At 35.4% G+C, this 14,135-nt stretch overlaps 1 protein-coding gene across 9 annotated transcripts in view; it reads right to left on the minus strand.

Annotated features, from left to right (window-relative positions):
• Nucleotides 1-14,135, minus strand: part of ATRX (ATRX chromatin remodeler) — a 281,337-nt gene that overhangs the window by 53,332 nt on the left and 213,870 nt on the right. For all 9 annotated transcript variants that reach the window (XM_005262156.5, XM_005262157.6, XM_006724666.5 and 6 more), the window contains one exon: nt 458-635. In XM_005262156.5, the coding sequence (XP_005262213.2) occupies nt 458-635 (178 nt within the window). The remainder of the gene's footprint in view (nt 1-457; nt 636-14,135) is intronic.

The following is a 14,135-nucleotide window of genomic DNA, read 5'->3' on the forward strand; positions in this document are numbered from 1 at the left end:
TGAGAATGTACAGAAGTTTTAAACTTAACAGGAAAGAAAAAAATAAAAGAAAATTGAATAAATAAACAAATAACAGGAAAGAGTTTACATAAAGTTGTCAATCAACTTATGTACTAAAGAAGATCAAATAAGCAAGGATCTACCAAAAAAAACCCAGTTTCTGGTTAAGAAGCCCAGATTTGGAGGCAGGCTGAGAGGGGTTGCATCTGCTGGGGGTAGCATCTGCTAAATGTGTTCATGCAAAACAATCTCAACCTGAGAAAGATGACATCACAGAAATGGATACACTACAAAACAGAAAATCAAGAAAAGCCAAAACTGACTTCTGCTGCTTTATGTACAGAAATGGTATTTCCAACTTTGTTTCCCTCTCTGTAATACACATATGTTCCATATCTCTAAAATATTATCAGTTTCACATAAACTTTCAATATGAAAAAGAGAATTATAAACCTACCTGAGCTAAGAACCTATATACATAAACAGGCTTAGTTTGTCCAAAGCGATAAACTCTGAATATACTCTGGATGTCATAAGATGGATTCCAAGAAGCGTCGAATATAATTACTCGATTAGCAGCTACCAGATTAATTCCTAGAGATCCTGCTTTAGTAGAAATGATAAATAATCGTCCTCTGAAAATGAAAATATAGAATAAATGCTTCAGTAATTAGTACTTTACAAATATTTTAATTACAATATGACTTTTTGATACTTAGTTTTTTTTTAACTATCAAGAGTTCAGAGAATTCATTTCTTACTTACTGAAGAAAATAATATATTATCTAAGGAGTCAGGATGATAATACATATGCCCAGGAAGAATCCTATTGTTGGAAAATAAAATCGTCTGATTTAAGAATAAAGATGAAATGAAAAATCAAATATTTACAATGTAGTCAAGGTTTTATCTACAGATTTCTGAATAAATTTAGAGAATTTATATGTAACCTGAAAGTCTATATTGTATTGGGTACAGCTAGGGGCACTAAGTACATCAAAATGAAGGAAAATGCAAAAGTAGGTGAATATGTAGGGGTGACTCAACATTTATAATACAGCATAAAGAATGTAAGGAGAGGCGTTAGACAGATGCAAGGTACTGAGGTAGATAAAACAGAAGCAAGAAGACAGACACGGGGCTCCAGGAAGGGTGTCTAAAGAAAAAAAAAAAGAAACTGATAGATTACCTGATTTGTTGGAACACAAGCATTTATAAGGTTTCTTTCTTTCTTTCCCTTTTTTTTTTTTTTTTTTTTTTTTTTTGAGACGGAGACTCACTCTGTCACCCAGGCGGGAGTGCAATGGCGCAATCTCGACTCACTGCAACCTCTGCCTCCCAGGTTCAAGTGATTCTCCTGCCTCAGCCTCCTGAGCAGCTGGGATTACAGGAACACCACCATGCCTGGTTAATTTTTGTATTTTTAGTAGAGATAGGGTTTCACCATGTTGGCCAGGCTGGTCTTGAACTCCTGACCTAAGGTAATCTGCCCACCTCGGCCTCCCAAAGTGCTGGGATTACAGACATGTGCTACCATGCCTGGCCAGGATTTACAATATTTCTACAGGATAATTTAGGAATGAATTGGTGATAGGTATATAGAAAACTAAGCAAATGGTAAAAACGAATGAATACTTCAGCAAAATATAATAAACAAGTACACGAAAAAGGAAAAACAATCACAGTATTCAAGTGGCTTACAAATATTTACGTAGCCACAATAAAGAAAATACTGCAAATTAATTTAGGCAAATATTATGAAAAATTATACTGGGAAAACGAATGAGGAAAAGTGTGCCTGTGCTTGTGGTAAATTACTACCTTACACTTTAGAAAGGATGTATGTAAGTAAGTAAGAATTGCCAAGAGTTGAAATTGGTTACCTCCAGAAAGTAGAAATCACAGGTAGAAAGAGGTTTGGTCACGGGACTGGTTTTTATTTGAAGCCTTGTAAAACTATCTGTTTTTTAAAAATATGTAAATATATTACTTTGATATTAATGAAAATTTAATTTGAAAAAGATTGGATAAACACTTTTTGAAAATAAAAACAACTCTAAGGAAAAGAATTACTCAGTTCCACTCCCCAGAAACAACCTCCATTCAAATCATGATATATTTCCTACAGTTTTCTTTTTTTCTAAATATATACTTTTTAAATTTTGCAGTCAGGATAGTAACTGTATATACAATATGTATTATGAACATTTCCCCAAATTTCTTGGTAAACATCATGCTTGGTAGCTGCATAGTATTTCATTGGATGATTGTACAGTAATTTATTTAATAATTTGCTTATTGCTGGTAACTTACAGAGTGACAAAAATCCCTGGAATATAATAAGCTCTCAATAATCAACACAAAATGTTTTTCTTTTCTTTCATGAAAGAAAATTAATGACTAAAATGCCATACTAATTACATTTATAGCATTCACTATACACTAGAATGCAAAGAAACTCTAAATTTAAATGATGGGAAAAAGTTTACAATTTAGTCTACCAATCATATTATATACTAAAGAAAAATCCTGGTATAAAATAAATAGAGATACTAAATTCATGTTTTATGTCAATTTGGAGCTACCACACATCTATGAATACAGACTATAGAAATTATCACAAAAGTTGACCAATTTTGAAGAAAATGTATTTATCACAGTGTTATTTTACAGTAGCATAAGGTTGAAAATTAAACAATATGTATAACATAGAGAAGTAAATTACACTCTGGCTATGTTACCATTAAAAATCCAAAATACTATGTTATGCGGAAGAAAAGCAGAATATAGAGCCTTACTAAATACAATTGCAAATGCATTAAAAACAAAACATATAAACACAATGTTAATAGTGGTTCTCTGTGGTCAGTGGGATTATGATGACAAGTTTCATCTTTATACCTCTATAACACATAGTCATTACAGAGAATAAACTGTAGCATCTTTCATTAGAGGACATACTTGAAGGTATATGGGTAAATGCTGGTCCAAAATTATTCCAGTTATTAATATCTATCCCACATAAGCAAAAGATGGCATAGAGCTATACAAAAGAATCAAGCATATAGAATGGTATAAACTATGTAGGTTAAAAAACACACATACATACATACATACACACACACACAACACACATGAAACCTTAAAGAACTTCAATACGCAAGTCCATATTGAGATAAACTACCCAATACCTTTTTTAGATATTCTTAATACTAAGTATTAGTATTAAAGTATATGCTCAAAACAAACATAATTAAAATATAAAGCATTATTTGCATAATGCTCCTATAAACCATATTATACGTGTCTTTTGATAAAAGCATTTCTGTCAGGTACATATCTAAGAGTGGAATTGCTGAGTCATAGGGTATTTACATGCACTGTTAAACTGAACAAATTGTTCTATAAAGTAGTTATTCCAATTCATATTCCCACCAGCATTATATGAGGCTTCCAGTTGTTCAGGTCCTTGACAACTCATGGTACTATCTTTTTGTTTTTATTATAACCTTTCAAAAACAGTTTAAGGTTCACAAAAATTACAGCAGTCGAGCTCCCATATATCCTTCACTCTCGGCTTCCAATGGTAACCTACAACTTATATAACAACAATACATTGTCAAAACCAGGAAATTGATGTTGGTATGAACTCAAGTACAGAGCTCATTTGGGTTTCATCAGTTTTTTGTTTGATGTATAGTTCTACAAAATTTTATCATGCATGTAGAATCACATAACCATTACCATAGCAGGATACAGAACTGTTCTGTCATCACAAAAAAACACCTTCCTTGTGTTATCCCTTCGTATTCATGCCCTTCCCCTAACCCTAAACCCTGTCAACTACAGATCAGTTCTCTATCATTATACTTCTGTCAAATCAAGAATGGCATTTTCCAGTTAGCATGAGATCCATATAAGTTGTTGCTTGGATCAGTAAGCTGAGCAGCATTCCACTACATAGATATACCACAATTTGTTTATCCATTCACATGTTAAATAACATTTGGTTGTTTCTAGTTGAGGACCATTCTAAATAAAAGCTGCTGTGAACATTTGTGTTTAGGTTTTTATGTGAAAATGTTTTCATTTCCATGGGATACATTTCTGAGAGTGTAATTGCAAGGTTATATGACAAGTATGTTTAGTTGTTTAGTTTTGTTTTTTTAAACTGCCAAATTGTTTCCCAGAATGGTTGTTATTTTATATTCCCACTAGTAATGTAGGATAGAACTAGTTTCTCTATATCCTCACAAGCATTTAATGTTGTCACTATTTTTTATTTTAGCCATGCTGATAGGTGTGAAGTGACAACTCATGTGGTTTTAAATTACATTTTCTTTCTTTTTTAGAGACAAGATCTCACTCTGTCTCCCAGGTTGGAGTGCAGTGGCACAATCATAGCTCACTGCAACCTCGAATTCCTGGGCTCAAGTGATCCTCCTTCCTCAGCCTCCTAAGTAGTTATGACTATAGACATGTGCCACCATGCCCAGCTAATTGTATTTAATTTTTTGTAAAGACAGATTCTCACCATGTTGCCCAGGCTGGTCTTGAACCCATGGCCTCAAGTGATCCTCTCACCTCAGCCTCCCAAAGCCCTGGGATTGCAGGCCTGAGCCACTAGCCTCACCTAAATTACATTTCCCTAATGGCTAGTGATGCTATCTTTTCATATGCTTATTTGACATGCATAGCCTTCTTCAGAGAAGTGTCAGTTCAAGTCCTTTGCCCATTTACTAACTGGGTTGTTTTCTTTCTGAGTTCTTTATACATTCTGAATGAGTCCTTTGTTAAATATGCAAATTGCAAATATTTTCTCCAAGTCTATAAGTTGTCTTTTCCTTTCCCTAAGAGTCTTTCACAGACAAAAGTTTTTATTTTTGATTAAGTCCAATTATTGATTTTTTATTTAATGGGTTATATGCCTTTGGCATCATGACTAAGAACTCTGACTAACCCTAGATGCAGAAGATTTTCTTCTGTTTTCTTATACAAGTATAATAGTTTTACATTTAGATTTATGATTCCTTTTGACTTGATTTTTTAAAATATGGGTAAGGCTTAAGTAAAGGTTTGTTTTTGGCCTATGAAAGTCTAATTGTTTCAATACCAGTTTTTGAAAAGGCTATGCTCTCTCCATTTAATTGCTTTTGCATCTTTTGTCAAAACCATTTTTAACTTGAATTTCTCTGATAATTAATAAGGATCACCATGCTTTCATACATTTATTGGCCATTCAGATATCGTCTTTTGTAAAGTCCTGTTCAAGTTTTTGCCCATTTTTCTATTGGGTTGTCTAGTTTATCCAATTGATTTTTAAGAGTTATTTATATATCCTGGATGAGACCTTTTTATATCTATATATTGGAAATAGCTTCTCCAACTTTGTGGCTTGCCTTTACACTCTTAATGTGAAATGACGTTTGTATTAGTCAGGGTTTTCCAGAGAAACAGAACCAAAAGGAGTTAAGAACTTGTGTGTACATGCGTGTGTGTGTGTGTGTGTGTGTGTGTGTGTGTGTGTGTAGACATATTACGGCATTAGCCTCACTGTGATTATGGAAGCTGTGAAGTGCTACAATGTACTGTTCACAAGCTGCAAAACCAGGGAGCTAATCGTATAAATCCTGGTCCCAGTTCAAAGGCCTGAAAATCCGGGGGTAGGGTTGTGGGTGGGGGCAGTTGGTATAAGTCCTAGTCTGTCTGAGTCTGAAGGCTGAAGAACCATGATTACCAATCTCCAAGGGCTCGATAAGATGGATGTCCCAGCTCAAAGAAAGAGAGAGCAAATTTGCCCTTCCTCTGCATTTTTGGTCTATTCAGGCCCTCAATGGGTAGGATGATGCCCACTCACACTGATGAGGGCAATCTTCTTTACTCAGTCTATTAATTCAAATACCCTTTCAGGAGCACCCTCACAGACATATCCAGAAGTGTTTTATCAGCTGCATGGGCATCTCTTAGTGCAGTCAAAATGACACATAAAATTAACTATCACACCTTTGGTGAACAGAAGTCCTTAATTTTAATGAAGCCCAAATTACCAATCTTGTATATATACAAGGAACAGAAGGCAGCTCTGAAAAGTCAGAAGGATGAGGCAGATGGGTAGGGCCCTCAGGATATAAAGGATAATGTGGTACTGAGTTTCATGGGCTACCTTTTTATTTTTAAAAGCTTGTTTTTTTTGCGACAGGGTCTTGAATTGTCACCCACACTGGAGTGCAATGGCATGATCACAGCTCACTGCAGCCTTGACTTGCTGGGCTCAAGCACTCCTCCCACCTCAGCCTCCCAAGTAGCTGGGACTCCAGAAATGCACTAATGCACCCAGCTAATTTTTAAAATTTTTGTGGAGATAGGGTCTCACTATGTTGCCCAGACTGGTCTTCAACTCCTGGGCTCAAGTGATCCTCCTGCCTCACTTCCCAAAATGCTGGGATTACAGGTGTGAGCCACCGAGCCCAGCTGTTACAGACTTTCTTTCTGCCTCATGTATCCTAGATTGGTTGCTGAAGAACTCCAGAAGGTGCTGTCAAAAAAATCTCCAAGAAAAGCCTACCCTCCAGCCAAAGGACCAGGAAAGGGGCAGCACAGCAAGACAGAAAATGTTAGGATAACCACTCAATTCCAACCAAACAGTACAGCAAAAAATGCAGCTGAATCCTCACCTTTCTACCGTAACCAAGTTATAACAAGGCACTACCAGGGTGGGGTCAGACAAGTCTGATTTCACAAGGTCCTCCCTGTGACCCAACAGTGTCAATGAAGACCATGTAGGGAAACAATACATCCACCCACACCCAGCAGTTACAAGAAAACCCCTTCCCTTCCTACTGGAATTATACCACCATCCAATAATAACTAATGAGTCACCCCCTGTGATGTCAGTGGAGGCCATCTGGAAAGAAGTAAACAGGTAATCTTGAGCCTCTGTCCCCCCACCCAGCCAAGGTAATACCAGTAGAGGCCTAGTGAGGAGACTGAACTCCCACTATCAACTGGCAACAATGTGGTAGGGCGTCTCATGCCCTGCCAAAACATTTGTCAGAAGATGCCTACTATACCAAAAGATTTAAATAAAATCCAGCATCTCATGATATAGTAACCAACATGCCCAGTTTAAATAGAACTTTCTCATAATAAGAACCAGAAAAATCTCAAGTTCAACGAGAAAAGACAATCAACAGACACCAACACTGAGATGACATAGATGTTAGAATTGTCTGACAAGGATTTTTAAAGTAGTCATTATAAAAATGCCTCATAAGCAATTATTAACATACTTGAGACAAATGAAACAAACAGTCTCAGCAAAGAAACAAGAAGACATAAAAAAAGAATCAACTGAAAATTTTAGGCTGGGCACAGCAGCTCAGGCCTGTAATCCCAGCAAGTTGGGAGGCAAAGGCACGCAGATTACTTGAGGTCAGGAGTTCCAAACCAGTCTGGCCAACATGGTGAAACCCCGTCTGTACTAAAATTACAAAAGTTAGCTGGGTGTGGTGGTGCATGCCTGCAATCCCAGCTACTTGGGTGGCTGAGGCATGAGAATTGCTTGAACCTGGAAGGTGGAGTGTGCAGTGAGCTGAAATCTTGCTACTGCACTCCAGCTTGGGCGAGAGTGAGACCCTGTCTCAAAAAAAAAAAAAATTAGAACTGAAAAATATAACAGAAATTAAAAACTCAGAATGTGTTCAGTAGAAAGCAGAGAACAGAAGATTTGGTGATTTTGAAGACTAAACAACAGAAATGGCCTAATCTGAACAACAGAGAAAAATGGAATGGAAAAGAGACTCATGTACCCATGGGACTATAACAAAAGATTTAATATTTTTGTCATTAGAGTCCTAAAAGAAGAGGAGAAGGAAGGAGGGGCTGAAATTCAAAGAAATAATGACTGAAAATTACCAAAATGTATTAAGAAACATAAACCTGCAGCTTAAGTAGCTGAATGAACCACAAACAGGATAAACCCAAACAAATACGTGACAAAATATATCAGTCATCTTCCAAAAACGTAGAAAAATAATCTTGAAAGAAGAGAGAAACGACACCTTATCTAAGGGGGGAAAAACAATTCAAACAGCAGGTTTCTCATAAGAAACCAGGGAGACGAGAAGGTAGTGACACATATTTTTCAAGTACTGAAAGGAAAGAATTGCCAACCCAGAATTCTATATCCAGCTGAAATACCATTCAAGAATGAAGGGGAAATCATTTGTTGCCAGCGGACTTGCTGTTAAAGAATGGCTAGGCCAGGCATGGTGGCTCACGCCTGTAATCCCAGCACATTGGGAGGCCAAAGCAGGTGGATCACTTGAGCTCAGGAGTTCAAGACCAGCCTGGGCAATATGGTACAACCCCATCTCTACAAAAAATACAGAAATTAGCCAGGTGTGGTGGTGCCCACCTGTAGTCCCAGCTACTTGGGACGCTGAGGTGGGAGGATGGCTTAAGCCTAGGAGGTCAAGGCTGCAGTGAGCTGAAATTGCACCACTGTATGCCAGCCTGGGTGACAGAGCAAGACCCTGCTTAAAAAAAAAGGAATGGCTACAATAAGTTCTCTAAATACAAAGCAAATGATATAAAAAGGAATACTGAAACATTAGGGAGAAGTAACAGCAAATAATAAATATAAGTCAATACAACAATTTCATTCTGTTGTGTTTTCTAAATTATATTCTATGGTTGAAGAAAGAATGATTACACTGACTGATATGGTTAAACACTTGAGACAGTCATATTATAAAAAGGGAATCAAAAGGATATAAAGAGGTAAGGTTTCTGCACATCAATTAAACTGGCAAAATGACACCAGTAGACTGTAATAAGTGTGTGTATAGGTATGATGTAATACCTACAGCAACCACTATCAAAGCTATACAAAGAGAAACACTAAAAAAAACTACAGATGAATCAAAATAGAATTTCAAAAATATAAAACTAACCCACAGGAAGGGAGGAAAAAGAAATCATAAACAAAAGAAAATAAAATGAAAGAGAACCAACTGAACAAAAAAATAAAATGGTAGACTGAAGCCTTACATTAAATATAAACGGTCTATATACACCATTTAAAAGAAAAATTAAGTGGATAAAAAATAAAACAAAAAACATGACCCAATCACATGCTGTCTACAAGAAACTCACTTCAAATACAACAACATAGGTGAGTTGAAGTAAAAGGATGAAAAACTATATACCGTGCAAACACCAATCAAAATAAAACAAGAGTGGTTATATTAGTATCAGATAAAACAGATTTCAGAGCAAAGAAGATTATGAGGGATAGACAGGGGCACAGCAATACTAAATGTGCATAATAAACAACAGAGCTGAAAATATCAGAAGCAAAACCTGACAGAACTGAAGGAGAAACAGAAAAATCCACAATTATAGTTGGAGATTTCAACCTTCCTCTCAAAAACTGATAACCACATAGCCAAAAAAAAAAAATCAGCAAAAGTAAAGAAGAATACAAGAACCTCATCGAAAAACAAAATCTAATCAGTATTTATAGAACACTCCACCCAACAACAGCAGAGTACATATTCTCTTCAAGGGCCAGTCTACTTGAGACATAAAACAAAGCATAACAAACTTAAAAGAATTGAAATCATACAGATTATATTTCCTGAACATAATTGAACTAGAAATCCACAACAGAAAAATAATGGGAACCTCCAAACGCATGGAAATTAAACAACATGCTTCTAGCTGAGCCAAAGATGAATTCTGAAATAAAAATATACTGAACTAAATGAAAATATAACACATCAAAGTTTGTATAACTAAAGCAGTGCTGAAAGCGAAATTTATAACACTAAATGCTTACATGAGAAAAGAAAAAAAGTCTCAAATCAAATTAGTAATCTAAGCTTCTACCTCCAGAAAGTAGAACAAGAGCAAAACAAACCAAAAGCAAGATGAAATTAAAATAGGAAAAAAAAAAAAAGAAAAAGAAAATCAAGGGAATAAAACACTAGTTATTTGTAACAATTAATGAAACTGACAAACCTCTAGCAAGACTAGTAAAAAGAAAACACACAAATTACCAGTATCAGAAGTGAAACAGAAGCTATCACTATAGACCCTAAAGACATGAAAAGGATATTAAGAAAATGCTATGAACAATTCTACACATATATTTGAAATTACGATGAAATGAACCAATTCTTACAAAAGCACAAACTACAACAACACATTCAATATAAAATAGATCATTTGAATAATCCTAAAACTACTGAGGAAATTTAATTAGTGATTTTTAAACTCCCAAAAAAAGAAATCTTCAAGGCCAGAACTGGTTTCACTGGCAAATTTTACCAAACATTTAAGATTAACACAAATCCCCATAATTTTTGTCAGAAAATAGAAAACAATTATTGACTTATTTTATGAGGTCGATATTAACCTGATACCAAAACCAGACAATGACAACACGAAAACAACTGAATATATAAGAGTAACTCTCATAAATATCTCTCAACAAAGTATTAGCAAACAGAACCAAGTACTATATAAAAAGAATTATCCTTACGATCAAGTGGAGTTTTATTCCAGGCATGAAAAGTTGGTTCAGTATTCAAAAACCAATCTACATAGCACACCATATTAACAGATTAAGAAGAAATAACAGATGATACAAACTGAGGCAGAAAAAGCATTTGTCAAATGTAAACACCTATTCGTCATAAAAACTCAGAAAATTAAGAATAGAGGGGAACCACCTCAACTTGATGAAGAGTAATTACAAAAAAAGTACAACATGGCTGTGCATTCCTACTCAAAGAGGCTGAGGCAGGAGGATCCCTTGAGCCTAGGAGTTCGAGGCTGCAGTGAGGTATGATCACACCACAGAACTCCAGTCATGGTGATAGACAGAAACCTTGTCTCAAAACAAAAACAAACAAAAACAACCCCCCCACCCAAAAAAACAACCTTACAGCTAACATCATAGTTAATGAAGACAGAATGCTTTTCTCCTAAGATCAGGAAGAAGGTAAGGATGTCCACTCTCACCATTGCTACTAACTATATTACTCTTAAGTTTTAACTAGTATGAGGTATAGGGAGGGACATAGCAATACTAAACATGCATAATAAACAGAGCTGAAAATATCGGAAGCAAAACCTGACATAACTTAAAGGAGAAACAGACAAATTCACAATTATAGTTGGAGACTTTTCTTGCAGCAAGACAAGAAAAGGAAACAAACAGCATACAGATCATAAAAGAAGAAATAAAACTATCCCTCCTTGTGGATAGTACAATGATCTACTTAGAAAATCCCCAGAAATCTATAAAACAAACTCCTAGAACAAATGAAGTCAGCAAGATTACAGACAAAAGATCAACACAAAAATCAATTGCATTTCTATATTTGAGCAATGAACACATGGAAACAAAAATTAAAAATACAGTAACATTTACAATAACTCAAAAAGAGAAATACCTGGGTGTAAATCTAACAAAAGATCTACAGGACCTGTATACTGAAAACTACAAAACACTGATGGAAGAAATCAAAGATCAACTAATGGAGACATACACTGTGTTCACTGATCAGAAAACAATAAAGTTATCAATTCTCTGCTGCTAAAAGTATTACAGTTGAAAAATGATATCAATTCTCTACAAATTAGTAATAGGTTTAATACAATACCTATTAAAATTATTGCAAAACTTTTGTAGGTCTAGACAAGATTATTCTAAAATTCATATAAAAATAGCTAAAACAATCTGTGAAAGGTAGAACAAAGTGGGAAGAATCATTCAATGTGATATTAAGGCTTAGTACACAGCTACAGTAATCAAGACTATGTAGTAATGATGCAGAGAAAGACATATGGAATAAAGGAATAGAATAGCAAACTGAAAAACAGCCCAAAACAAGTATAGCCAACTGATTTTTCACAAAGGTGCAAAACCAATTCAGTAAAGGAAGTATGGTTTTTTCTTCGTTCTTTTTTTTTTTTGAGACAGTGTCTTCCTCTGTTACCCAGGCTGGAGTGAAGTGGTACAATCATGGCTCACTGCAGCCTCGACCTCCTGATCTCAAGTGATCCTCCCACATCAGCCTCCAGAGTAGCTGGGAGTACTGGTGTGCATCACCATGCCTGGGTATTTTTTTTTTTTTAGAGACAGGGTCTCGCTGTGATGCTCAGGCTGGTCTTGAATTCCTGGGCTCAGCCTCCCAAACCACTAGGATTACAAGTATGAGCCACTGTGCACTGCCACAGATAGTTTTTTTCAACAAATGATGCTGCAGCAATTGAACATCCACAGCCAAAAATATGAACCTTTAAACTTCACACCTTATACAAAAATTAACTCAATACAACATGGACTTAAACATAAAAGGTAAAATTATAAAACTTGTAAAATACAACACAGGACAAAGTCTTCAAGACCTAGGGCTTTGAGGAAGAGTTCTTAGACTTGACATCAGAACCATGATCAAAACAAAGAAACAAACATTGACAAACTAGATTTCATCAAAATTAAAATCTTTGTTCTCTGAAAGACCCTGTGAAGGGGATGAAAAGACAAGCCATAAACTGGCAGGAAGTATTTGCAAACCATATATCTGACAAAGGACACATATCTAGATTATATAAAGAACTCTCAAAACCCTACAATAAAAAAACAAGCAATCCAATAAGAAAATGGACAAAAAGACATAAAGAGATTTTCACCCAAGAGGATATACAATATTTGATGGCAAATAAACACATAAGATGTTCAATATAACTGGTTGTCAGGGAACTGCAAATTAAGACCACAATAAGATACCACTACATACCTATCAGAACTCCTAAAATAAAAAACAGTGATAATAGCAAATGCTGGTGAGGATGTAGAGAAACTTGATTTCTCACACACTGCTTGGTAGGACTATAAAATGGTACAGCCATTCTAATTAAGAGTTTGGCAGTTTCCTAAAAAAGTACTTACCATATGACCTAGCCACAGCATACCTGGGCATTTATCCTAGAGAAATGAAAACTTAGGTCCACACAAAAAGCTGGAACACAGTGTTCACAGCAGCTTTAGTTATAATAGCCAAACCTGGACAAAATGAAAATGTCCTGCAATAAGTGAATGATTAAACATCTGTGGTACATCCATCCCATAGAATACTACTCTGTAATAAAAAGGAACAAACTATTGATACATGTGACAACTTGGATGGAACTCAAGGGCATTATGCTGACTGAAAAAAGCCAATCTCAAGAGGTCACATATAGAGAATGATACCATTTATATGACAGTCTTAATATGATAAAATAATAGAGATGGAGCATAAATTAGTCATTGTCAGGGGTTAAGGTTAGTGACAAGGTTGGCAGTAAAAATGGGTGTGACTATAAAAGGGTAGTGAGAGAGAGCGAGCTTTGTGGTGATGGAATATTTCTGTATCTTGATTGTGTATATGTGGAAAAAAAGATATATGCAAACATTGAAACACTGTCAACTTCTTAGTTTTGATATTGAAATATAAGATTTAACCATTGGGGAAAATTAGGTAAAGGGTTCACAGGACCTCTCTGTACTTGCAAGTTCAGGTGAATCTATAATCATTTCTAAATTAAAAGAGAAACAAACCAAAAATAGTATCAAGCTAACGAGGCACTCTGAGACTGCTGAAAACTACTTCCAGGTCACACAAAACAACAACGTTACAAATGGTCATTATCTTAAAGTTTATTTTAATGTGTCTTTCAGATTGCTTTGGCATAAACAAGGATTATATTTATATCCTATTTACTGAAAATTACTGAGTCATGAAAAATTAGAATTTACAGAGATATAATCTAAAACATTTGTGGATTTTTTCCTTGCTCTTTTCATTTTGTTTTTTGTTTCATTTTCTGTTTGTTTGTGCATTTTGAGAGACAGCATAACATCTGTGGATTTCATGTGTATGGGTTCAGCTACTCAAGAGCAACTCCCCAAATCCATAATATACATGTACAGGTTGAACAGCCCAAATCTGTAAGTCTGAAATCCTAAATTCACCAAACTCCAAAACTTTTTGAGTGCCAACGTAACACTCGAAGAAAATGCTCATTGGGGCATTTTGGATTTAGATTTTCAGATTTGGTATGCTCAACAGGTAAGAATA

Source organism: Homo sapiens, chromosome X (genome assembly GCF_000001405.40).
Source record: "Homo sapiens chromosome X, GRCh38.p14 Primary Assembly".
NCBI classification, from domain to species: domain Eukaryota; kingdom Metazoa; phylum Chordata; class Mammalia; order Primates; family Hominidae; genus Homo; species Homo sapiens.